The sequence below is a fragment of the Homo sapiens genome, chromosome 11, assembly GCF_000001405.40.
Source record: "Homo sapiens chromosome 11, GRCh38.p14 Primary Assembly".
Lineage (NCBI taxonomy): Eukaryota > Metazoa > Chordata > Mammalia > Primates > Hominidae > Homo > Homo sapiens.
Genome location: NC_000011.10, coordinates 2,376,095 through 2,397,417, shown reverse-complemented (window position 1 = coordinate 2,397,417; position 21,323 = coordinate 2,376,095). Strand labels below are relative to the sequence as shown.

Here is a 21,323-nt window from a genome sequence, read left to right as displayed (position 1 = left end):
GAGGGACTGCACAGGCCTGGTAGCATGCCTGATGTTCCTTCTTTATTAAATGACGGAGTCAGGATGTTGTGATTACAGTTGAAGGCGACGTGTTAGAAAGGACAGGTGCATGAAGGCAGAGAGTGCCCACAGACTCGGCTCTCGAACCGGGGCAGGAGGGAACAAGGTGAGCTGTGCAGCCCACAGGACGGGCGGGCTGGGTGGACACAGCCCCCCAAGTTGGCCAAGCTGAGTCTCTGGGCGAGTGGCTCCCAGGAGAGGCCTGGCTGAGCAGGCAGAGCACCCTGGGACCCCAGGGCAGAAGGACCCCTGCCCTCCAGTCCCCAAGACCCAGGCCCGTCTCCACTCATACACGCCACCTACATGTGACGTCAGCCCTGAAAAGGTAACAGGAAAGTTCAGAACAAAAACAAAACCCCAAAAGTAAAAAGGCTACGTGTAGCAGAGTAATACCGGAAACGTTATATACACAGGCGGTGATGGCCCCCTCGGAAGTGTCCGGGTCACTTAGGGGGCACTGCAGAGGTCCCTGTGGCCAGAGCTGCGGGGCCTCAGTACACGGAGCTGTTCCGGATGCCACAGCACAGCACCATGCTCAGGATCATCTCGAAGATCTGCAGGAGGGTGGTGGGGGGCGCAGTCAGCACAAGGCCCCGCGGAAGGGGCAGCCCAGAGAGCAGGCCCTCCGCCCCCGCCCGCTCACCATGATCACAGCGACCACGATGGCAGCAATGCCGATGAGGTACAGCTTCCCGGAGAAGAGGTCATCGATCTTCTGGTGGCAGTCCTCCTGCAGGGGTGGCCAGGCACGCGTGGTCAGGGACCGGGCCTCGGCTCCCGGCTTCCCGTTGTCACGCAGTAATCCGTGGTCACCACAGAAAGCGTAGAGGGGAATCCTGGGAACAGCCCCCCACCCCCTACCCACCTCGGAACAGGCGGGTGCAGCGGCCCGGCCTCTGCCGGCTTGCTATCTTCCACCCGTTTTAACATAAACGCGAAATGCCTGGGACACACTGTGCCCTTTTCCACTGAGATCACGGTCATTGGTGTCACTAGACCCCTAAAGCATCACTGATGACGACTTCCACTGAGGCCTCAGCAGGAAACTTCCACAGGGCACTATATGGCCTGCAGGCCCTGCCAGCTACAGGCTGTCAGGGGCGTCCACACCCACGAGTGCACACGTGGAGCTGGGGGTGCAGGTGAGTTCCCACCCCCCAGAGCCTCCACCTTCTTCACCCGGAATGCGCAGCACAGGGCGCCTGCCTTCCTCGTGGGCCAGATGCGGTCCCACCCCAACCCTCCCAGCAGAGCAGCCCTGACAGGGGCCATGCCACCCAGTGTGGTCGCTCCCTGTGGGGCTGCCGTGTGACCTGCCCACCCCTAGGACCCCACCCAGGGGCGGGACATGCGGGGGGTCAGGCGCGGCCCCACCGGCCTCGCGCACCTTGAAGAGGTTGCTGATGATGTTGCTGCCCGAGGGACACAAATTGTTCTTGAGCACTGAGGTGGTCAAAGCAGTCAGTGTGCTGGAGCCACAGCAGTCAAGCTGCAGAGAGCAGGGGTGCAAGGTCAGCCCTGGATGTGCCCAGGGGGACGGTGGCTCTAGGGAACCCATGGGGAGGTGGCCAGGGGTACGCAGCGCTCCCCACTGCAGAATGCATCCAGGGGCCAGCCTTCTTCCTCCTCAGCTGCGCTGCTCAGAGCTTTCCGCACCCTGGGCCACCCTGGCCCACTAGGTTCCCACCCGAGGACCAGTTGAGACCAGGGGTCCTGGAGGTCCCAAGGGCACCTCCTGCTCCTGAGGTCTGGGCGTAGGCAGGATTCATCCAGGACGAGACACACCCCGCCGGGTTCCCGGGGCCCTGCTCCCCGCCCTCGCCCCCCGGGGCCGCACCGTCTCGTGGAAGGTCTTCACCACAGCCTTGGCGTTGTTGGCGTCATCATCCACCACGGCCTGCTGTAGGGCCTGGTCATAGAACTGCTTCACATCCTTGGCGATCTGGGGGAGGGGTGCGGTCACATGCACAGGGGGAACCTCCCCCTCCTTGCCCCCACCCCGCCCCGCCCCAGGCGGACGCACTTTTCCCAGGCTCTCCCTGGGCAGGGTGGCTTCGAGGCTAGACCCCAGAGGACAAGGACTCTGCACTCTCAGCTGCCCCGGGAGTGCTGGGACACGGGAGGCTGGCCTGGTGCTCAGCCCCAATGCTGCCTCCTCCATAAAGCCCCTGGAGATCCTCCTGGCAAGTGGGACCCAGGAAGAGCCCAAAGAGCTCCCACAAGCCATGAGTCAGCCCAACCCCCACCCGCGACAGGAGAGGAGGGTGCCCCCGTCACCCACCCCACCCTGTCCCTGCACACCCAGGCTCACCTGGTCCTTGTTGACAAAGCCCCAGATGCCGGCGGCCACCTCACAGGCAAACAGGATGACCAGGCAGGTGAAGAACTGGAGCCGGGCAGTGGCCAGAGGGAGGAAAGAGGGCAGGCTGTAGGCGGGGCCCAAGGACACACACCCAGGTGCCCAGCAGGCGTGTCTGTGAGGGGCTAGTGGGAGCCACCAGCCCACGACCTGACCAGGAGTGAGCGGCTTGTGTGGAGCCCTGGGGCACAGAGGCTAAAACTCAGCGCAGGGAGGAGCCGTCAAAGCCCAGGATGTCCCCACGCGGCACCAGGCTCCACAGGACGGGGTGGATGGGGCGGGGCGTGTGGTTTGGGGTCACAGGCTGGTGAGTCCAGGATGTCTGCAGCCCCCAGGGAGGCGTGTGCAGCAGCATGACCCCTGACTGATCTTCCCCACCCCCTTGTTCCTGCTCCCCACGGAAGGGGGAGCCATGGGATCTGCCTCAGTTTCCCCCACTGGAGACACGGGCATAGGCTCCCTCTTCCTGGACTGGCCAGGCCCTGGATGGCACAGCCAGGCCTGGGCTTCCCACAGGGGGCGGTGTGCCCGGGACGCCGAGGCTGGCCTCAGAGCTGAGGCTTGCTCCCTGTTATATTTGTGGCTATTTTTTGACAAAGAAAAGCGGTCACGTAGGAACTGGCCACGATGGAGACCAAGCACGGTGGGATTTAATTTAAAAACCAAACGGGAAAAGCAGGGCACAGGAGCCACCTCCCCCAGAATTCTAGGCTCCGCCCTGAGCACCAGCTCTGCCCCCTCCTCAGGGCCAGACGCAGCCCCCAGCCCCTCCCCGGCCCAGGCACAGGCCCGCCTCCCTGCCTTACCGTCCCCAGCAGGCACTGGGATTCCTGGATGGCCCCGTAGCAGCCCAGGAAGCCAACGAACATCATGACAGCGCCCACAGCGATGAGGATGTAGATGCCTTGCGGGGAGAGAGACACCAGGTGGGTGCCTACACACTCGCCACAGCCCAAGACCCCGGAGGGTCCTGGGTGCCGAACCCACCACGGGCCGCCCAGCTGGGAAGATGTAGGGTTGCTGACTGCCAGGGATGAGCAGCAAGGGACCTCACATCCCAGCCTGGCCTGGTGAGTTTTCTGTGCCTCAGTTACCTCTTCCATGACACAGGACGGAGACTAAGGAGGCCACATGGGGACTGGGCACCTCATGAGCGCTCTGAGTGCTGGCGACAGGTGCTTCGCAGGGATGACACCTGCGGTGGGGCCCGCCACCTGCCACACCCACCACCCACCGCCTGCACCTGCCACCCGCCACCCACCGCCTTCACCCGCTCCCAAAGCCTCTGGGACTTGGCGTGGGGTGGGAGTGGCATCAGAAGGCACAGGGTGGGCCCCACTGTAGGCCGGGGTTGAGAGGGCAGCCCAGGAACCGGAACTGGAACCAATGCTGCCTCCCCAGTGTGGTGCGAGAAGAGGGTGGGGGGGCCCTGCTGGCTCCTGCCCCCCAATCTGGGCTGCACAGCAGCACTTCCGTTACGGGACCTGCATTTGAACCTGGCTGCTGTGTGGGGAGGATCAAGTTGGATTCCTAGGCCCTGGGCTGAGGGCTGAAGCCCAGCACCCCACCTGGGACAGCTGGACCAGGGCGTGTAGGCCAGCCCTCCCGAACTCCCCCACGCTCCCTGGCTGGGCAGCATGCACCTGGGGAGGGAGAAGGCGCCGTCCAAGGGTGGGGGGCGCACTGTGGGCCCGAGACATGGGCCTGGCCACCCAGACAGGGCCCTGTACCCGCGGGACAGCTGTCAGTGTCTCTCACTGCCTGCCCACTCCCCTATCCCTCAGCAGGCAGGGGCCATCTCCCGTCACCGAGGCAATGCAGAAGGCAGCCCAGGCCCCCTCCTCGCAGCCAGGCCCATTGTCCCTGCCCAGCCAGCCCAGAGGAGAAGGTGCCTGGGGCAGGACCCACCGCCAGGCAGAGAACACACCCAGATTTGGGGCTCGGCCACCCAGCCTCCTACCTGGCCAGATGAAGCCTCTGCCAGGAATGCCCTGCAGGTGGCCACCTCCTTACGGGCACGGCACCCAGGAGCCAGGTCTCCCTCCCCTCAGGCCCTGACACTCCTGGGTTGCAAGGTTGGGTTCACTCCGGGGTACAGGTCAGGAGAGGCGCGTTGCCTTTTTTGGTCCTGACAGGAGGTGGGAGGCCCAGGGCTGCCAGACCCCCTGCCAGGCCCCAGCCCCACCCCAGCCTCCTCTCTTAACGCCCTTGGGCCTAACCCACCGCACCCGCAGCGTCTCTGAGGGGAGTGAGCCCAGCAAATCCACCCTGTTCCCGGCGCAGGAAAAAAAGCCCTTGGCAAGGCCCAGCCCGCATCAGGGACAGCAAGAGGCTCCAGAAGGCCGATTCTGGAATGGGCGAGGACTTGGTGGCCAGAGGAGCTCCAAGGGGTCCCTGTCCAGTGGGGGCCCAGGCAGAGCCCACGTCGGGGGTGGCAGGTCCTGTGGTCGTGTGGCCAACACAACGGCAGGCTCCTCCAGCCCAGGGAAACCACAGCCAAGGACCGAGGGTGGGCGGCTCTGGGGCTGGAGCTCTGATGTGGCCACGGTGACACCATGCAGGTCAGACACCTGCTTCCAACGCCAGCCTCACCCTGGCATCATGGGGGCAGCACCATGGGGCCTCAGCACAGCCTGTGACCTCTGCTTCTGCCGAGAGTGGGGCGCAGGAAGGAGGCCTGGCATACCTCTCTGGGGTGTCCCCTGTCCTCGCCCCAGCCCGAAGCTAAGTGACCCTTCAGCTCCTCTCCGGCCACACGGGGCCCGACGCCGACCCCACAGCGGGAGCTGCTCCAGCCACAAGCCTTGGCCGCCGGGTGCCTGGAGAGTGACCCCTTCCAAGAACACCTGCCTCACACCCACAGGCCCCAGGTCCTGGAGAAGGGGACTCGGTGGCAGGGGCAGCCCCTCCTGTCCCTGGACAGGAGTACGAGGAACGTGCTGGGGGCAGCCTCGTTCCAGGCCGGGGATGCTGTGGTTGTCACTGGCTGGACTGGTGGCCCCGGAGGACAAGGCCCAGGATGGCTGGGAGGCCCTTCTGGACCCCAAATATCCTAATGATCTGGGAAGCGGGGAGCAAGAGGCCCAGGAGGGGCCTCCAGTAGAGATGCACCCTTGGAGATCGGAGGATGCTGGCCGGGCTCTGCCACCCACAGCCCAGGCACATGGGCAAAGCTAAGCCGAGTGCTTCTGAGGACACAGGCAGGAGCGCCCCAGCTGCGTGCAGGGGGTGGTCTCCACATGAGCCCCTGGGACAAGCAGCCTTTCCCGTCCTTCCTGACACCACCTGTGAGGGCACCACGGCCCCGAGAGAGGCCAGGAACCTATGGGCAGGGCCATGGGACCCTCCCTAGGATCGGCTGGGCCCAGAAACCCTCCGTGGGCCACAGGCTTCTGTCTCTGGGGAGGACAGGGACCATCCCTGTTGACACCATCTGGACCCCAGCACCGGCCCTCTGACCCATGAGCGGGGCATGGGGAAGAAGGAACGGGCACGCTGTGTGGCCAGGGCCCTCACCTGGCCCTGGGGTGACTGGACAAAGAGGTGGGACGGCGCAGGTGTGGGGCTATTTCGGCCTCCTGGGGCCCTGGTTCAGCAACCAAGCCAAGCAGCCTCCGTAACTGGCAGGGGGCCTGGCCCTGCAGCTCCAGGCCTGGGGGCACCTGCCGGCTGAGGGAAGCCCTGAGGACTGGGGACACACAGGCTGCCCACCTCACCCACCCCTCAGCCTGTGAGGGCAACAGAGCCATCCCAGGGGCCTCCTTTCAAGGCCAGAAGCATCTCAACAAATGCTCCCAGAGCCCCACCAGCACCAGCCCTGCCAGGGGCACCAGGAGGAAGGGTGCTGCTCTCTGCACAGTGAGATGGCCCTCCTCCTCCTCCTGGCCTTGCCCCTCCCCTCCTCCTCCTCCATCACTCCTGCTCCTGCTCCTGGGGGCAGGGAGGGCAGCCCAGTCCCCCACACGCAGCCTAATAAGGCAGCAAGGTGCAGCTGCCTGCAGGGGCAGCTGAGTCACACCGCCTCTGGGGCGTCTCCACCCCTCTCCACCCCTCCCCTGCCCCGTCTCCACCCCTCACTGGGTTCCATCCCTTGAGCTCCATCCCTCCCTCCCTCCCGGGCTCCACAGCGCCAGCTGCCTCGGCTGCTCTGTGTGGCCCAGGCATCCAGCCCCACCCTTCTCAGGGAGCCTCCCCCGAAATAACCCCACACTTAAAATAAGCAAGGTCTCCACACAGTCCCTGCCCAGGCCTAGCTGCCACCCCCTGCCCTGGCTCAGACCAGAAGGGCCAGCAGGCCACAGGCCCACCTCCATCTCAACCCTTGTGCCCAGAGCCCTTTCCAGGGCCGCCTCCCTGCCCGGACACGCCATGCCCGACTGTCTTTCACCCTCCATGTCCCCATCCAAAAGGCTAGGACCTGCCTCCTCCTAGAAGCCCTCCCTGAATGCGTCTGCGGCCACATGTGCACTCACCTACATAGAAGGTGTTGGGCGCGGGCTTGTCTCCCAGCTCCAGATACAGGAGGTTGGTGGTCTGCGGGTCATGGCGGAGCCACAGGGCCACACCCAGGATCACGCCTCCAGCCAGCTGGGAAAGAGCGGGAACAGTGTCACATGTACGAAGAGCACTGCAGCAGGGAGTGCGCCCACCCCACACGCAAGGCCTAAGCAGCCTCCTGCCTTGCTGGCTCCCGAGCAGGGACCAGGTGTCAGCTCTGCTGCTGGTTTTCGCAATGCCCTGAAGAGCCCCGGGAGTCAGGAGCATGGGGCGGGTGCTTTGGCCGCCATCTACTTGGAGCCTGGCCCTGCCCTGCACCTGTGGAGTGTGACTCCAGGGCAGGACTGCCAGGAAGACACGGGACGCCGGTTAAATCTGCCTCTCAGATGAAAACAGAATACTTCTTTAGGGTAAGTGTGTCCCAAATATTGCACGGGACATACAAAAAAATAATCTGGTGTTTATCTGAAGTTCAAGGTGAATTGGATGCCCTGTAGTTTCACCTTCCGTATCTGGCCAGAGGTGATACCAGGACCTGAGCATCCCAGGAACACTGCCCCCTCCTGCAAGGGTGTGGCAGCGCCCCAAGAGTTCTGAGGTCGCTGGGGGACTGCTTCTGTCTGGGGGTGCTGAGAACTCTGGGGTGGGGGCACCCCATCTTTGCTGCCAGGAGGAGAGGGTAGGATTTGATGTTACCAGGCCAAGCTGTAGGCACCAGGGCCTGCGGGGTTTGTGGGATACATCCCTGCTGTGGGATGTCAGCCCTGGGAAGGGACTTGGGAGGAAGGACGCTGCTGTGGTTTCCAAGATGGGCTGGGGGAAGGGGCGCGCAGAAGCCGGCCCAGCGCTGTCGCTCAGCAGCTGGGGCAGGAAGCAGGCTGTGCTGGGAGTCTGGCAGGTGGGGATGAGGCTCACAGAGAGGAGAGGCCTTCAACGCCGGGTCATCCGGTGTGCACACAATCAACTCTAGCCAGGTGGGGTCTGCCCTTGAGACTGGGCCCCAGACCAGGCCCAGCCCAGCCCACTCTGATCATCTGACCAGGCCAGGCACGTGCCCCAGGCCCCCCTCTGCACACACCAAGGCCCCCTCTCTCCCTAGGGGCAGTGCCCAGCCCTCTGGTGGTGGGAGAGGACACAGGCTTGTCCTCTGCTGTCCCTGGTGCCTAGCACCATGCAGGGCACACTGCAGCCGTGTGATCCCCATAAATGACCAGTGACCCTGAGTCCTGCTGCCTCTATCCTCCTCCACTTCAGCACCCCTCGGCCTCTTGCAGAGGCTCCTCCCTGCTAGACAGGGTGGGGGCTGGGTCCCCTTCAGACCTCTCCTGGGGTTTCTTCCTGCTTCAGGCATGAAACAGGGCCCCACAGCCCTCTAGCAGCCTGGGGACTCTGCGTCCCTAGGACACAATTGGTCAGTTCCAGGGTCCCTGGCCCACAGCAGGAGGCCCTTGTTGCTGGACAGTCTGGGTGGGTCAGGCTTTACCCCCTGCTGCTCCAGGAGGACAGTACAAGAATCCCCTAAAATCTGGTCTGGCAGATGAGCCGTGCACAGCCCTCAGGCAGGGATCACCCAGGCCAGGGCGTGCTGAAGAAGCCTATGGGGTCAGGGCCCCACAAGTGCGGCCACCATCCGACTCCCATGGGCCTGGGCGAGTCTTCTTCCTCCTCCATGCCACTCTCAAGGAGGGCCAGGCCCTGGGGGCTTCCTGGAGGAGGAGGCAGGGGGACAGGAGATGAAATCAGCCAGGTGAGGAGGCACCCGGGGGGGGCCACGAGGGCACAACCCCCCTGGCGGAGAATGCCAGCCCAGAAGGCAGCTGCTCCCAGAGCTGAGTCGGAATGCTTGGCTCTGCCACCAGCTGGGTGCCAGGCAGGTCCTGTCCCAGCAGCTGAGGCCTTGCCTCACCAGCACCAGGCGCCGACCCCACCACAGATGCAGGGCTGCCGGTCAACTGCAGAAGAGAAACTGAGGGCTGGACCCAAGAACACCACCTGGACAGCCCCACTCCTGTTCCAATGGCCCTGGCCAGGGAAGCAGGGCCCCAGGGTGGGGTTGGGCAGGGGGCTGTGCTCAGCAGAGCGTGAGCTTCAGGCCCCAGCACCATGGCCTGCACCCAAGTCCCCGGCCTGAGGACCCCCCGGTCAGGCCGGTCTAGGGTCTAGGGCCTCGGTGAGGGTTCGGGTGGGTGGAGGAGCTGGGGGCTCTATACCTCTTCCCCCTTTCCCTCACACTCCTGTCTCCCCTCCTCCGGGACCTGAGCTGGGCCTGGCAAACAATAAGGCCAGAGGGGGCTGGGCGTGGTAGCAAGCGCCTGTAATCCCAGCACCTTTGGAGGCTGAGGCAGGAGGATCGCTTGAGCTCAGGAGGTTGAGGCTACAGTGAGTTATGATTGTGCCACTGCACTCCAGCCTCGGTGACAGAGCAAGACCCTGTCTCAAAAATAAAATAAGCCTCATAGGGGCTGCTGGTGCCAGCAGCCACGGGGCTCTCACCCCAAAGGGGCTGTTGATGGTCCCCCTGTAGCAGGACTGCCAGAGCACCTTCTCCACACACCCGAAACAACAACCTGGGCTGTGGTTTCTCAGACCTTCTTCTGAGGAGCTGTGCCTCCTGCCCTCCTATGGGAGTTTCAACTCAATTTTCACACTTTGGTTTAGCGAGGATGGCAGCCTACTTCCCCCGCCCAGGCCCCAGACTGAAGCTCTTCTGTGCCGAGTGGAAGGTGCATTAGAGTCACCAAGGGCCCAACATACACCTGCGGGCAGCGCTGGAAGCCATGTGGCAGCTGGGACCCCACGTGTGCCCCTCACATGACAAGGCCCCAGGGAGGCCAGGGGCCCCTGGCTTCCAGAATCCTGCAGGGGCAGACAGCTCCTGGTTCTTCTGTGCCCATTATACCCGTGGGAGCACAGGGAGGGCCGTGGACAGTGCAGGAGAGGCAGGAAGGGTGGGGGCTGGGGGGTGGCCCCAGAGAGCCTGGCTGTCCTCACCCTGCTGCCCTCCTGAGCTGGCTCCAGATGCAGCCTGGCGGGAGGAGGTGGCGAGGCCGAGAGTTGCCGTGGTAACTCTGGCTTCCTCCAGGGCCTTTGAAAACATTGCTTATTTTCTTTTGAAACTGTGGTCCAGAGACCGTTTTGAGAGCTGTTCCAGGACAGAGTGGGGCAGGTGGATGGGGGAGCCTCATCCCCACAGAGGCCTGGTGACAAACCCTGACTCAGCCACAGGAGCTGTGGGGCCACTGGAAGGTCCCCAGGCTCCCGGTTCCTCAGTGTCCCCCTCTATAAAACAGAGCTGATCATGGAACCGTGCCTGGCTCGGAAGCTGCTCTGTAGAGGCCCATCCACCCCCAGCCCTCCCTGGCTGGGCAGGGACCACCCCTCCTCTAGCCTGGGCGCTGAGGGGATGATCCCATCTAATGGGCATACCGTCCTAACAGAAAGGTAGTGATGGCAAAGCTCAGCCTAAACCCCAAACCTGCTAATGGTGGGACTTCAGGCCACGTTGCAGCTTCTTGCTGTGCTCTGGGAAGGGGCTTCTGTTCAGACTCCAGGGCCGTATGGGGAGGCTGCCCCTAGACAAGCCCCGGCCCCAGGCCTCTGCCGAGGGTTGCAGGGAAGGCTGGTCCTGGCCTGCAGGGCCTGAAAGAGCCTGGGCCAACACCAGGAAGGACCCGAGGGCCCATGTGACTTTTAATAGGGCAGAACAGCTGGGCCAGGAGGGGGTGGGAGGGACAGCCGGAAATGGGGGTGACGCCAGCCTGTCCACCTCAACTGTCCCCGAGGCTACCAGAAGTAGTCGGGAGCCACCCTGGGTGGAAAAATGGGGCAAGAAGGAGTGCCAGGCACTGGGCAGAGGCCTCACCTGAGCCTTGGTCTTCCCAGCCCTAGCATGGACAAACGGGGCCATGCCAAGCTCTCCGACCTTCAGCAGGGACCTTGAGCTGGAGCTAGGTGACAACAATGGTGGTGATGGTCACTGCCGGTTTCTGGATGAGGAAACGGAGGCGGAGGGACCCCCCTAGGGCCACCTACGAGGGAGGGCAATGGCAGCACCAAATCCCCAAGCCCCGTGGTGGGAAAGGCACAGGTGCCCCTGCCCCATAACAAACCCCATGTGGCAGGGCTAGAGGTTCCCCAGAGTCAGGAATGCGAAAGACACCTGCTCTCCGAAAGACCTGGGGCAGAGCCTGGTAAAGGACCTGTGCCCTGAACGTATGCAGAGCTTTCCAAACTCAACAGCAAGAAAACTGGCAACCCAATCTTTGAAAGATGGGCAAAAAACAGGAACAGACCCTTCCCCGCAAGATCCACACACAGCAAAAAAGCACATGAAGAGATGCTCCACCTTGCCAGGGACCAGGAAACCCAGGTCAAGCTGCAGCCACATGCCGAGCGCACCCAGTGGACTGGCTGCCACGAAAAAGACCAACCACACCACATGCTGCTGGGGGAGGCAACTGGGACGCATACAACGGGGGCTGTAAAACGGTCCAGCCACCTTGAATAACAGTTTGGCAGTTATGTAAAACTGCTGCTTAAGCAGTGAAACCCACATTCACCACATGACCCAGCTGCTCCACGCACAGGTATTTACCCAAGAGAAATGAACTTAGGTTCACACAAGACTTGTACACAAATGTTCTAGCACGTTTCTTGTAAATGCCCCAAACTGAAACAACCCATATGCCCACTGACCGGTGAACGGGTGAACCTGGGGTCCGTCGCTGGCTTGCACATGTGGGTGCAACCCTGCCCGGCAATAAAAGGAACAGACGAAGGGCACACCACAGCACGGGTGCACAGACGACGGGCACGCCACGGCACGGGTGCACAGACGACGGGCACACCACAGCACGGGTGCACAGACGACGGGCACGCCACAGCACGGGTGCACAGACAGGCATGCCACACAGACGACGGGCACGCCACAGCACGGGTGCACAGACAGGCATGCCACACAGACGACGGGCACGCCACAGCACGGGTGCATAGACGACGGGCAGGCCACGGCACGGGTGCGCCTCTGGGTAATCATGCTGAAGCAAAGAGGCAGAACAGCAACGATGTGCAAGTGCCTTCTGAGTCCGCTTGTTGAAGAAATGCATGCTGTGTGCACCCACAGCGACGGCCCGTGGTTGCCCTGGGACGGGGAGGAGGGGCAGGAAGCAGAGATCCCAAGGGCCCCAGGGGCACCTGGGGAGTTGGTGATGGTTTCACGGGGGTATAAATTTGTCAAAACTTACCAAGTTGTACCCTTAAACATCTGTATTTACTGTGTGTCAATCACGTCTAAATAAAGCTGTTTGAAAAGCCCCCACATCCTAAGTCCCTGATGACTGAACTCCCCGGGGCCAGTGTTTCTTCTGGGCCCCAAAGACCCCAGGCTGCCATCTTGGCGCTAACTTCTTCCGAGGCAGAGCCAACGCTTCCCAGGGGCAAGCAGCGGCATGGGAAACACCGAAGCCGCGTCCTTAGAAGTGCACTTTTAGGATCCATCAAAGTTAGGACTGGAGTAACTATGGAGCCCGATGTCAGTTAAAAGAGAGTCCCGCTTTCACGGTGATGAGGGAGGGCAGCCCAAGGCCCTGGCTGCTGAGTGCCTTTCACCAAGGCGACCTCAGGCCCATCTCAGCTTCTCTCTGCCTTGTCTACAAACAAGGAAATAAAAGTGCAGAAGCTGACATGCACACAACTTAGCCTGCACAGCAGCACTCGGCTCTCCATCACTGTGAGGTTTCATAAGTGCCGGAATCTGGAACTCCTGTCACCCCTCTCCCCACAGAGCCATCCATACAGGCACCTCCCTGCTCAAAGCTCACCTGTGGGAAGCCTCTCTGCCACCTGCTCCCACCTCCCAAGATACTCCAGCCTCCGGAGGCGCCCTCTGAGATGCCCCGCCCCCAGGATGCCCCGCCTCCCAAGTGGCCGGGCCCCAGAGATGCCCCACCTCCCGAGATGCCCCACCCCACAAGCCGTCCCACCCCACAAGATGCCCCACCCCACAAGCCGCCCTACCCCACAAGATGCCCCACCCCACAAGCCGCCCTACCCCACAAGACGCCCCGCCTCCCGAGATGCCCCACCCCCCAAGCTGTCCCACCCCACGAGACGCCCCACCCCAGGAAATGCCCCACCCCACAAGCCACCCCACCTCCCGAGACGCCCCGCTTCCCGAGACACCCCGCCTCCCAAGGCGCCCCGCCCCACAAGCCGCCCCACCCCACAAGATGCTCTGCTGGGGATTGGGGATGGAGGGTGGCTCTCAGGATGGAGCCCAGGTAACCTGTGGGGTTCCTGGAGGGCTCCTTGCAAGGCTACTAAAAGCAGTGTTTGTACTCTATGAAGGATTGTTTCTTTCTTTCTCCTTCCTGGGAATTAATAAATAACAGAATCGACTTTAAAAGGGGGGCTGCCAAGCACACTGGGTTCCTGCCCAGCCTGTCCGCTGTTTCCAAGAAGCAGCTGAAAGGGAGCAAAAGGCAGCAGGCGCTGCCCGGGCAGGCCTAGGTCAGCTCCCCTACCCATGCCAGCTGCTCGCTGCCCCCGCAGGCCCCGGACAGCCAGGAGCCAGAACTTCGGGTGGGAGCTCTCCAGGCCAGCACACACACCCCCACAGCTGCAGGAAAGGGCAGGGATCTGGTCGCCCCACCCATACCTTACCCCCACCCAGACGGGCCAAGTGGTCACCCCAAGTCCTGCCCAGGCACCCCAGTGGGGGACGAGGACGATGGTACATCAGCTCACCCGCCTTTACGTACAGGCTGGGCATCTGTGTGTCTCTAGTCCAGGCCCTCCCTTGATGCTCTTGGGGAGGGGGTCCACCAGGCAGGGCCACGCTGCGGGCTCTGTGCCTGCTCACCGACACCTAGGGACTGCACATATGGGAAACACACCGGGAAGTGCCCATTCGGCTCAGCCACTGGGAGGTGCTGGGGCCTGAGACACCCTCCCCAGGAGGACAGTGAGGCCCTGAGGCAGGAAGGAAAGGAGGAAGTACCCCTGGAGATACTGGGTGAAGGAGGGGAGGGGCTCACCAAGGTGCTTCCAGGAAGGGACGCTGGGGGCCGGAGGTGAACGGCCCCTCCAGCCTGGGTCCCTGCAGGCCAACCCCTCACTCTCTGCCCACCAAGAAGGGGCAGTGCCAGGCCTGGGTGTGGAGGTTGGGGACGGGGCCAGACTCCTCCCTGGGTGACGTAGGGCCCTCTCAGGCCCTCCTAGGTGGTGAGCAGCTGCCCCTCTGACCCCGTTGTGGCCTCCAGGGGCGAAAAGGCAGCATGGAGGGAAGAGGAGCAGGAATTCTCTCCTAGGCCAGGAAGCGGAAGCTCCACTCACAGGGCCCCTGGCCCCGAGGAAGCCGCCTGTCTCAGCATCTAAAAATAGGTGTCAGGCGAGGATGCTGGCCCTCTGGCCCCGCCAGCTGGGGGATGTGAGGAGTCACTTCCCTCGGGACCAGGAGGACGCACACATGCTCAGAGGATGCTGGTGTCTCCCAGGCATCAGGGGTGGTGGGCACCAGTGCCCCGAGGACCAAGCCCCTTCCAGGACCAGCTGTTCCCGAGGCAGGGAAGCCAGGAAGTCCCTAGCCCTACTCTAAGCCTCTAAGCCCTACTCTAAGCCCCTCGGAAACCCCTGGGGTCCCACTCGGGAAGGAGCTCCAGGATCAGGACTGTTCTGGGCCCCCATCGGCCTGGGTCCTTCGCCTGTCCTGGGGTGAGTCTCATGCCCTGTCATCTGTTTTACCTACACTGTTACCTGGGTTTGAGCTTTGAGATTAGTTCTGCACCGCAGCGGATATCATGCTCCTGGCAGGGCTGTGAGGGACCTGGCCTGGCTGGGGAGAGAAGTGAGGACCCCAGGCTGCCCACCTGCCCTGATCCTGGAGCTCCATGTAACAGCACAGGGCGCCCTGCGGGGTCCCCCATCACCCAGCCCTCTCCCTCCCATCCTTTACCTTCTCTGAATCACGCCACTTCCATAACTGGGAGCCCGAGGGGCTGAGGAAGAGGGAAGCAGTAACTTTCCAAACGTGGTGGGAGAGCACATGACCAGAGAGAAGGGCAAGGCGTGGTGGGGGCGTGATCCACCAGGCTCTGGCCAAGCTGGTGGCTCCCTCCTCTCAGGCCCCTAGCATTTGGAATCTCACACCTGGACTCTCAAAGCTCCCCTGCTGGGCCACCCACATCCTGGAGAGAGGCGCTTACAAGCTCTGTGCCCCTGGTCCCCCAGCCCTACCGCCAACTCCTTGAGCCCGCAGCCCTCAAAGACCTTGTGCGGGGGGTGGGGGTGGGGGGCAGATGCCTTATCCTGGCCATCCCACGGCCATGGCATTGGCGGCCAGTGCAGGAAGCCTACAGCCCCAAAAGTGAGATCCGGCTGCCAGCTGACCTTCCACACCCTTGGGCGTGGCCCCCTGCCTGAGGGGACTCCTCCAGCACTGGGGGCCTACCTGGAGGACCCTCAAGGGTCTCTCATGATTCAGCACTTGCTCTGCAGCCCAGGTTGGGGGGCTTAGTTTGGGCCCAGAAACACAAAGAATGGTGTGTAGGGCTGGGGGACACTGAGTAAGTCCAGAGGTTCCTGGAAGGCTGCCCAGCATACCAGGTACCACTGTGTCCTACAAGGCAGGTGGGGACGACTTGGAAGTGGAGATCACTGAAGCCCATTTCTGGGAGAGCCTGGTTCTTCTTGCCCAGAGGGGTGCTGGGAACAAGGCGGACACCTGCAGGGCTGGAATATCACCCAGCACCCATAGCACGCCCAGCCTGGATCACAGGGACACGGGGCCCAAGCAAGGGGCAGGGCACCTGGCTCCTCTCCAGCCCCAGCCCCACCCCAACCTCAGGGTCCTGTCTAAAACCACGGTGGGTACAAGGGTGATGACCTGCTCCCTCGCACAGGCGCCTGGACTCTAAGCCTTATTGACTCTATGAGCAAAGCTCTTCCCGTGGTGCGATTTCAGGTGCGGAAATAGGGGTAGGGATCTTTTGGGGTCTGTCTCCTTGTCTGGGCTTGGAAGCAGTTATGAGAAAGGGATTGGGGGTGAACCAGATTTCTGAAAGTTGAGCTGAACTGGGCGCTGGGGTGGGTGCAGGAGAAGGACCCTCAAACCCAGGAAAGAATGGAGGGCTTTCGGGCATGCACCCTGGTGACCGCAGGGAGGGCGAGTGACTTGTCAGCACCCGGCAGAGCCACAGCCAGCCACAGGGGCGACCGGGGAAGTAGGCCCATACCTCCCTGCTTTTGCTCTGTGCCCTGCACTGCTGGACAGCCTCACTGGGGCCAGTCTGTAGCAGAGACAAACCACAGACTTCCTCTTCTCGGCCCGCTTGACCCAGTGGCCGTTTCCCCAAAGCTGTGCAGCCAGACAGCCTGGGGGAGCCAGGGAAAGTCCACACACCCACTTGGTGAAACCAGGCACAGGATGTCCTAGCCCCCTCCCCCACAGCGCCTGCCAGGGTTGCAGCCCCTCTCCCGGAAGGACGGCGAAAGACGTGCCAAATGACAGTCATGTGCTGTCTGGAAGCGAGAAATACCCGTGAGCGAGGCTTCTAATCAGTCTCTTTCCCGGCCGGGTTTGGCTGCCCTGCCACTGGGAGGTGGCTACCAGCTGCATTAGCTTGGGGGAGCAGCCAGTCCCAGGCGGGGGACACCGCTCTTCTCCCTGCGGGGACTGGTGACACCTCTTCTGGACTCCCTGGCCAGCCCCCGAGGAGAAGACTCTTATATCCATTACACAGATGAGGAAGGCAAGGCTCCCACAGGCCAGTTCCCTGTCCCGGGACACAAACTCTCCTGCCCTGCTCCTGGCAGCAGGTGGGTCTCAGGTGCCAGCCGCCTCTGATGGAGGCTCCGAGACCCACCCAAGGGACAGGATTTCCACGCTGCTTGGCCAGGGCATCTGCAATGTCCTCCCTGCTTGGGCCCGCCGCGCACCCAGGGAGCCCAGTTCTCACTGGCCCCCAAAGCGGTCAGGGCGCAGGTGCATGCTGCCCAGACCTTCCCCCTCGCACCTTGGCTTGGGAAGGGAGACAGCAAGAGTGTGAGTGTGTGTGAAGGTGGGAGTGTGTGTGTGTGCACATTCGTGTGTGTGAGTGCCTGTGCGTGTGTGTGTGGGCTCCTTCCTGGGAAAGAGGTCAGGCTACCCCAGCTGCCTTCTCCCACAGGCAAGGCCTCTTTCCTCTCTAAAATGGAACTTCTAACAAGTGCCCCACCCAGATATCCATTGTCAACCTCCTCCCCACCAGCCTCCCCAGAGCCCACAGGACTGCACTGTGTCCTTCTGGACCCTGCAGGGTTCCCGCAGCCCCTTCCCCACTGCACATCCTGCCTGTCTGGGCTGGGCTCTCTGAGGCAGAGGTCCCTTTGGACCCCTGGCCAACACCCACGCCCTGAGCCCTTCCTGCACCAAGCCCCCTGTCAACACTCAGGCATGTCAGCAAATCCACCAACACCACCAGGAGGTAGGCTCACTGTGGGCCCCCACTGCAGACGGGGAAGGCCGAGGCCCAGGACCAGAGCAGTGTGTTGGGGACTCCACCAAGGAGGCCCAAGCCCATGGCACTGTGCTCTCAGCCACACACCCTGCGACACCAGGGTGGAGGGGGGTCCACCAGGGTGGTGCCCACCAACCCCACCTCACCCAGCCTGGCATTGCTGGCTACCACTGAGCCCCAGTGGATGGGTGGGTCCACAGTGACTGTGGACGGACTCAGTTCTCAATGCTTTGCAGGGAGCAGGCCCTGGGGAGAGGAGCGGTGAGGCCTCAGAGACATTTCCTTGAGCCTTAATAACAAGCACCCTTGGGATGTGTCAGGTCTCCACCCCAGCTGCCTGGGAAACTTCCAGGCCCGCCCTGGCGACACTCCCAGGGGGCTGCCAGGGAGACCTCTCAGCCTGGGCAGGCAGGAGGGGCTCACCCAGTGCTGACACACCGTCCAGAGAGCAAAAATCCACCTCCGGAGAAGTCCCCTCCCGTGACTCCCCTTCAGCCTCTGCCCCTAGGTCCACACTCTCCCTCAGCCCCTGCCCCCAGGTCCACACCCTCCCTCAACCCCCACCCCCAGGTCCACACTCTCCCTCAGCCCCTACCCCCAGGTCCACACTCTCCCTCAGCCCCCACCCCCAGGCCTACACCCTCCCTCAGCCCCTACTCCCAGGTCCACACTCTCCCTCAGCCCCTACTACCCCCAGGCCTACACCCTCCCTCGGCCCCTGCCCCCAGGTCCACACCCTCCCTCAGCCCCCACCCCCAGGTCCACAGTCTCCCTCAGCCCCCACCCCCAGGTCCACACTCGCCTCGTCAGGGGACGGGGCTTCAGGGGCTGGCAGAGGGACATCCTGTGTCTGGTGCCTCTCCCACATGCCTGGGCTGAAGCAGGCCACCACTAAGCAACGGCTGAGGTCCCAGGGCCGGGCCTGGGGAAGGCGAGCCCCTCCCAAATGGCCTAGCTGCCCCCACTGCCAGGGCAGTGCCGAAGGCCACAGTGACTCCCACCAGCGTCCCAAGCAGGCTGTGCAGAACAGCCCGGCTTGGGGAAGGTGGGATGTGACTGCCCCACTCATCTCCCAGCTGAGAGTTCAGTTCAGCCTCCGTCCTTCCCCCTCCAAATAATCATCCGCACTGGGATCCTCAGCCGTCCAGATGGGAAACAGATGTCTCTGGTCCCACACACTGGCTCCAGGGGCCATTTAAAAAGTTTGCCCTCCCTGCCTCAACTTGAGAAACACTCGGTCCACTGGGACATCAGCCGAGTCTTCCACGAGAAGGGGGTGACAGCCTGGGGGGCACGGGGAGGGGCTTGCAGTCTATGCCCAGGGGCGTGGCCACGGGGAGGCCGCGGCCATGGACACCCACTCCAGTCCTTCCAGGCCAAGAAGGGATTTCCACCCCCTCCCCAATTCTAACACCGACAGGAAATGGAAACAAAAGGCGAAAGCCCATCAGTCACTTCCCAGCAGCAAAGACTGCGGTCAGGAGAAAGCCATTCTCAGCAAAAGACCCTCCTCCACCCACGCTGGCACCCAAAGATGCCCAGCGTGGGGGCCCCTCTTGCAAAGCAGCGGCCCCACTCCCGGACCCTGCCATCCACTCCAGGCCCCTGGTGCCACTCTCTTCCTTGTGCCAACTCAGAACCGCGGGATCCCCACTCCTGCGAGGCCTCCAGAGCCCTTCTGGGAGGAGGCCTCCGCTGGAACGTGTCTGGGTGAGGAGAGGGAGATCGGCTCCCAGGCAGGGACGGCCAGGGTGCGCGCACCCCAGCTTCTGGGCCATCCCGGCGGGAGTCTGCGCTCCTTTTAGGCGCGACCCCCAGGAAGGTCTCGGGTGGTGACCGCAGATTGGAGAGTGAGCTGGGCTGGGGAAAGAGTGAGGCGGATCGCCCCCAACCTCCGGCAAAGTGTGCGCCCCCGCCCCACCATCCAGGGGCGGCGGCTCTTGATGAGCTCATGGGGGCGGGGCGCCAGGAGTCCCGCCCGCGAGCCCCCCCCTCGTCCCCGCGAAGCAGCAGTCCGGAATCCGCGGCCAGGGACCCGCGCAGGCCCCTCCTTAGCTGAGGGGCGGCCGGGTACTCGGGTCCCGACCCGCGACCACCGCACCCATCACCACCACAGCGGGAACTGCCCGGCGGCCCCCAGAAGCCCCGGCCCGGCCGCAGAGGTGGGCCCCCGAGCACAGAGGCCCCGAAACTCGGCTCGCAGCCCTCAGCCCCAATGTCGGGGGGCGCGGTGGCCCCGGGCGACCCCCCACCCCGCTCCTGGAGCCCACAGGTGGCCCCACAACTTCGCGGCCCGCGCTGCGCCCGCGGGGCCTAGCACGCTGCCGCGGGACCTGCCCAACGTGGAGTGTGTGCCTGCCCCCTCCCGCCCCGGCCCCCGGCGCAGCCCTTACCCAGAAGACGAAATTGAAGACGAAGAGCAGGTACTTGATGCACTTGGTGCAGCCCTCCACTCCCATGGCGGCGCGGGCGGCGGGCGGCCTGCGGGGCGCGGGCCGGTCCTGGGCGGCGGGCGGGCCGGCGCGGGGCCTGGCGGGTGGCCGGCAAGGGGGCCTGGCGGGCCGAGGGGCGGGGGCGCGAAGAAAGGGGCGCGGGGGCGCGGGGGCGCGGGGGCGCGTGGGGCGCTGGGCGCCGGAGGCCTGGCAGGATGCGCGGTGGGGTCGCCGCCGTCGCCGCCGTTGCGCGCTCGCTCTCTGGCCGGGCGCGCGCCTCGCTCCGCAGTACTTATAGGGCGCCGCGGTCCCGCCCCTCCATAGGCCCCGCCCCGGCCAGCTCACGCCCCGCCCCCGGCCCCGCCTCCTGCCGCCAGGGCGCGCAGCCGAGGGGTATGGGGTCGCTGCACCTACCCCCAACTTGGCGCGTTTCGGCCAGGACCTCAGGGCCCAGGTGCACCGTGCTGGGCGCGGGAGGCGTCCCCAAGCTGCTGTCGCGCTCCGAGCCCCCAAGGGGGTGGCAGCAGGGCCGCGCCTGAGGACAGGCATGCAGCGTCTGCCCAGGAGTGCAGCCCCGGTGCCGGGAGAACAACCCATTCCTCCCTCCCTCAAGCACCTTGGACAATCTGGGAGGGCTCCCCAAAGGAGGTGAGCACCTTGGACAATCCGGGAGGGCTTCCTGAAGGAGTTGATGCCACAGTGGTTGGCTTTGCAAAGACAGCAAGCTTTGCTCACATTGCTCTCCGGGGCTGGAACCTGGGCAGGCATGAGGCCCCCTAGTCAGTGTTGGCCTCAAGGTCCTAGTACAGGTAACCAATCCCTGTCTCACGGAAGGGGAGAATTGCTGACCCATGCTGTGGGAGTCTGCATCTGAAAAGGTCACTGGGGCCTGAGAGGGCAGCTCCCAGAACAGTGTGAAGTGTCCAGGAGGCCAGAGACACCTATAGGAGAACCTCCAGATATTGCATCTATTTCGTCTACATCCTGGTTGTGTCGTGCCCCAGGGATGCCAGCCTCACACCGTGGCTCTTCCGGAAGGTGTGGGGCCAGGCCTGCTGCACTTACTGCTTTGGGCTAATGATTCAGAGAGTGAAGGGTGCTTTCTCCCCAGAGGAAGGAGCGAAGGCCTTTGCAGGAGATGACACACTGACGAAGGTTTCCCATGCCCTCTCCAAGAAAACTGATGGACAACGGGGCTGCATCCTGGGCGGGGGCTTACCTGGGAACCACGTGGGACCAGGTCCGGAGAACCATCCTCTAGCCAGCTCGTCTTGGCAAGTGTCGTCCAACCCAGTGCTAGCTGATAGAACCTTCTGCAACGATGGGAATGTTCTGTACCTGGATAACCCCCTGGCACAGATGACTACTGGGTACTGGAAATGTGGCCACAAGGAACCAAATTTTTCATTGTGTTTCATCGTAATTTAAATTCACATGGCCCTGGGTGGCCAGTAGCGCTCACATTGGACAAAACAGCTCTAT

At 63.4% G+C, this 21,323-nt stretch overlaps 1 protein-coding gene and 1 long non-coding RNA gene across 15 annotated transcripts in view, besides 15 other annotated features; one reads left to right on the top strand and one right to left on the bottom strand.

Moving 5' to 3' along the window:
• CD81 (CD81 molecule) lies at positions 21-21,238 on the bottom strand. Of its 14 annotated transcripts, none has more exons than NM_001425129.1 (9): positions 21,061-21,238; positions 20,498-20,597; positions 6,892-7,006; positions 3,226-3,323; positions 2,372-2,446; positions 1,898-2,002; positions 1,448-1,549; positions 704-790; positions 21-614 (listed from the first exon to the last, which is right to left on the bottom strand). In NM_001425129.1, exons 4-9 carry the CDS (start codon positions 3,289-3,291, stop codon positions 552-554), a joined length of 498 nt encoding a protein of 165 aa, NP_001412058.1. In that variant the 5' UTR covers positions 3,292-3,323; positions 6,892-7,006; positions 20,498-20,597; positions 21,061-21,238; the 3' UTR covers positions 21-551. The 14 variants fall into 14 exon arrangements, with proteins under 14 accessions (NP_001412058.1, XP_047283889.1, XP_047283890.1 ...); XM_047427933.1 differs by lacking the exons at positions 20,498-20,597; positions 21,061-21,238 and adding exons at positions 10,779-10,863; positions 19,171-19,282; XM_047427934.1 differs by lacking the exons at positions 20,498-20,597; positions 21,061-21,238 and adding exons at positions 10,779-10,863; positions 12,736-12,809.
• Positions 2,410-2,589: an enhancer, noted in NCBI's record as "active region_4300". NCBI's record gives its function as "activates an Ori minimal core promoter by ATAC-STARR-seq in GM12878 lymphoblastoid cells {active_cell/tissue: GM12878}" and the evidence as "EXISTENCE:reporter gene assay evidence [ECO:0000049][PMID:35858748]".
• Positions 2,720-2,779: a silencer, noted in NCBI's record as "silent region_3068". NCBI's record gives its function as "represses an Ori minimal core promoter by ATAC-STARR-seq in GM12878 lymphoblastoid cells {active_cell/tissue: GM12878}" and the evidence as "EXISTENCE:reporter gene assay evidence [ECO:0000049][PMID:35858748]".
• Positions 7,534-8,509: an enhancer, noted in NCBI's record as "H3K4me1 hESC enhancer chr11:2410139-2411114 (GRCh37/hg19 assembly coordinates)". NCBI's record gives its function as "activates a minimal SCP1, AML or CMV promoter by ChIP-STARR-seq in primed H9 embryonic stem cells {active_cell/tissue: H9 hESC(primed)}" and the evidence as "EXISTENCE:reporter gene assay evidence [ECO:0000049][PMID:30033119]".
• Positions 7,534-9,483: a biological region, named in NCBI's record as "nonconserved acetylation island sequence 93 enhancer".
• Positions 8,000-8,179: an enhancer, noted in NCBI's record as "active region_4299". NCBI's record gives its function as "activates an Ori minimal core promoter by ATAC-STARR-seq in GM12878 lymphoblastoid cells {active_cell/tissue: GM12878}" and the evidence as "EXISTENCE:reporter gene assay evidence [ECO:0000049][PMID:35858748]".
• Positions 8,070-9,039: an enhancer, noted in NCBI's record as "nonconserved acetylation island sequence 93". NCBI's record gives its function as "activates a minimal heat-shock promoter by reporter assays in Jurkat T cells {active_cell/tissue: Jurkat}" and the evidence as "EXISTENCE:reporter gene assay evidence [ECO:0000049][PMID:17135569]".
• Positions 8,510-9,483: an enhancer, noted in NCBI's record as "H3K4me1 hESC enhancer chr11:2409165-2410138 (GRCh37/hg19 assembly coordinates)". NCBI's record gives its function as "activates a minimal SCP1, AML or CMV promoter by ChIP-STARR-seq in naive H9 embryonic stem cells {active_cell/tissue: H9 hESC(naive)}" and the evidence as "EXISTENCE:reporter gene assay evidence [ECO:0000049][PMID:30033119]".
• Positions 9,989-10,038: an enhancer, noted in NCBI's record as "active region_4298". NCBI's record gives its function as "activates an Ori minimal core promoter by ATAC-STARR-seq in GM12878 lymphoblastoid cells {active_cell/tissue: GM12878}" and the evidence as "EXISTENCE:reporter gene assay evidence [ECO:0000049][PMID:35858748]".
• Positions 10,559-10,628: a silencer, noted in NCBI's record as "silent region_3067". NCBI's record gives its function as "represses an Ori minimal core promoter by ATAC-STARR-seq in GM12878 lymphoblastoid cells {active_cell/tissue: GM12878}" and the evidence as "EXISTENCE:reporter gene assay evidence [ECO:0000049][PMID:35858748]".
• Positions 13,809-13,868: an enhancer, noted in NCBI's record as "active region_4297". NCBI's record gives its function as "activates an Ori minimal core promoter by ATAC-STARR-seq in GM12878 lymphoblastoid cells {active_cell/tissue: GM12878}" and the evidence as "EXISTENCE:reporter gene assay evidence [ECO:0000049][PMID:35858748]".
• Positions 14,259-14,368: an enhancer, noted in NCBI's record as "active region_4296". NCBI's record gives its function as "activates an Ori minimal core promoter by ATAC-STARR-seq in GM12878 lymphoblastoid cells {active_cell/tissue: GM12878}" and the evidence as "EXISTENCE:reporter gene assay evidence [ECO:0000049][PMID:35858748]".
• Positions 16,293-17,275: an enhancer, noted in NCBI's record as "H3K4me1 hESC enhancer chr11:2401373-2402355 (GRCh37/hg19 assembly coordinates)". NCBI's record gives its function as "activates a minimal SCP1, AML or CMV promoter by ChIP-STARR-seq in naive H9 embryonic stem cells {active_cell/tissue: H9 hESC(naive)}" and the evidence as "EXISTENCE:reporter gene assay evidence [ECO:0000049][PMID:30033119]".
• Positions 17,276-18,257: an enhancer, noted in NCBI's record as "H3K27ac-H3K4me1 hESC enhancer chr11:2400391-2401372 (GRCh37/hg19 assembly coordinates)". NCBI's record gives its function as "activates a minimal SCP1, AML or CMV promoter by ChIP-STARR-seq in naive H9 embryonic stem cells {active_cell/tissue: H9 hESC(naive)}" and the evidence as "EXISTENCE:reporter gene assay evidence [ECO:0000049][PMID:30033119]".
• Positions 19,377-19,576: a silencer, noted in NCBI's record as "silent region_3066". NCBI's record gives its function as "represses an Ori minimal core promoter by ATAC-STARR-seq in GM12878 lymphoblastoid cells {active_cell/tissue: GM12878}" and the evidence as "EXISTENCE:reporter gene assay evidence [ECO:0000049][PMID:35858748]".
• CD81-AS1 (CD81 antisense RNA 1) overlaps positions 19,426-21,323 on the top strand; it is a 49,244-nt gene continuing 47,346 nt past the window's right edge. Inside the window, exon 1 of the long non-coding RNA NR_108080.1 lies at positions 19,426-19,832. This is a non-coding gene — a long non-coding RNA (CD81 antisense RNA 1). The remainder of the gene's footprint in view (positions 19,833-21,323) is intronic.
• Positions 19,997-20,436: a silencer, noted in NCBI's record as "silent region_3065". NCBI's record gives its function as "represses an Ori minimal core promoter by ATAC-STARR-seq in GM12878 lymphoblastoid cells {active_cell/tissue: GM12878}" and the evidence as "EXISTENCE:reporter gene assay evidence [ECO:0000049][PMID:35858748]".

Coding starts and splice junctions, on each gene's coding strand:
- CD81 (XM_047427931.1), bottom strand. CDS start 18,478: ATGAGTGGGGCAGTCACATCCCACCTTCCCCAAGCCGGGCTGTTCTGC. Junction 2,447..3,225: donor CCCAGTGCCTGCTGGGGACG/GTAAGGCAGGGA, acceptor GCCCGGCTCCAG/TTCTTCACCTGCCTGGTCAT. Junction 615..703: donor TCGTGGTCGCTGTGATCATG/GTGAGCGGGCGG, acceptor ACCCTCCTGCAG/ATCTTCGAGATGATCCTGAG.